The following is a 1,215-nucleotide window of genomic DNA, read 5'->3' on the forward strand; positions in this document are numbered from 1 at the left end:
ACAGACAGTATCATTATCACCTGTTAGTCTAGATTTTGTAATGGAAGAACTAATAAAAGGTAACTTAGTGAAGAGGGAGGAAAAATCAAGCATGAGTTTGTTTTTTTCTTCTACTAGAAATAATGACTTTCTACAATCTCATGGAACACTGGAAAGTGGTTTTCAACTTGGAGACATAGAAAGTAAAATAGGTCAACATCCACTGCATCTATTTTCAATTACTGAGACATATAGTCCTTAAGCAGCCAGAGTCAGCCAGAATTGTCTAAGATCTGGGCTCCATAATGAAAATATCTTATAGTAAAATGTATTCCCCATAGGTTAAAATGCAAAATGAGAACCCAACTTTTTATTACTCGTTAAATGAAATGTGCAGTCTTTTTCCCCTTTTAAGGTCAAGTATACAGTATTTTGGAAAACAAACCATAAAAACATGATTAGAGAGAACAGAGGAAGTCATTATTTTCTCCAGTCATAAAGAATGTAGCATCATTCTATCAATCTAATGTATCTTTGTAACGGCAGTGGCAGCATGTGGCAGTGCTTAAATTGCAAATACAGTATTTAAGAAAAAGCACGGATTAAAAGAGCACTCACATGAGCTGGAAAATAGCCACATGGATTATAATATTTTTATAAATTCCATTTCCTTTTCAAAGCACCACTTAACATTATATATTGCTATATTATCTACCTACACAGAAATAATATACTCATCAGGCCAAAATTCATAAAGTAAATCCAAGTGTACATAATTAATGGCCAATGCAGATAGACCCCATATTGTGATATATGGTGAATGTAAAATCAGTGCAGAAATATTGAACCTGAATCTATACATGTATATAAATAACATCCCTAGATTTGGTTTGCCTTTTTGGAAACATTTATAACACAAAATTTGAAGATAGTAAGATGCATCTTCTCAATGTTAACATCAGGACAGAATTCACGCAAAAGCTTATCACAAAGGCAAATATTTCAGAGCATGTGGCTTTTACAAAGCACAACTTTATTGCTGAGACAATTCCAACCCAGTGTCAGTTTTTCAGCAACAGTTGCTATCTATCTGTCATATTTAGGGCAGTTATACTTTCAATATGCTCCACTAGAGGCAGCTGGATAAACTTGAAAGCATTTTTAAAAACATGTTTAGGAAAGTAAAGGAAATGACCTGTAACATGGTAAACACACCATATTGTACATGAGATTCTC

This window comes from Homo sapiens, chromosome 3, assembly GCF_000001405.40.
Source record: "Homo sapiens chromosome 3, GRCh38.p14 Primary Assembly".
NCBI lineage: Eukaryota > Metazoa > Chordata > Mammalia > Primates > Hominidae > Homo > Homo sapiens.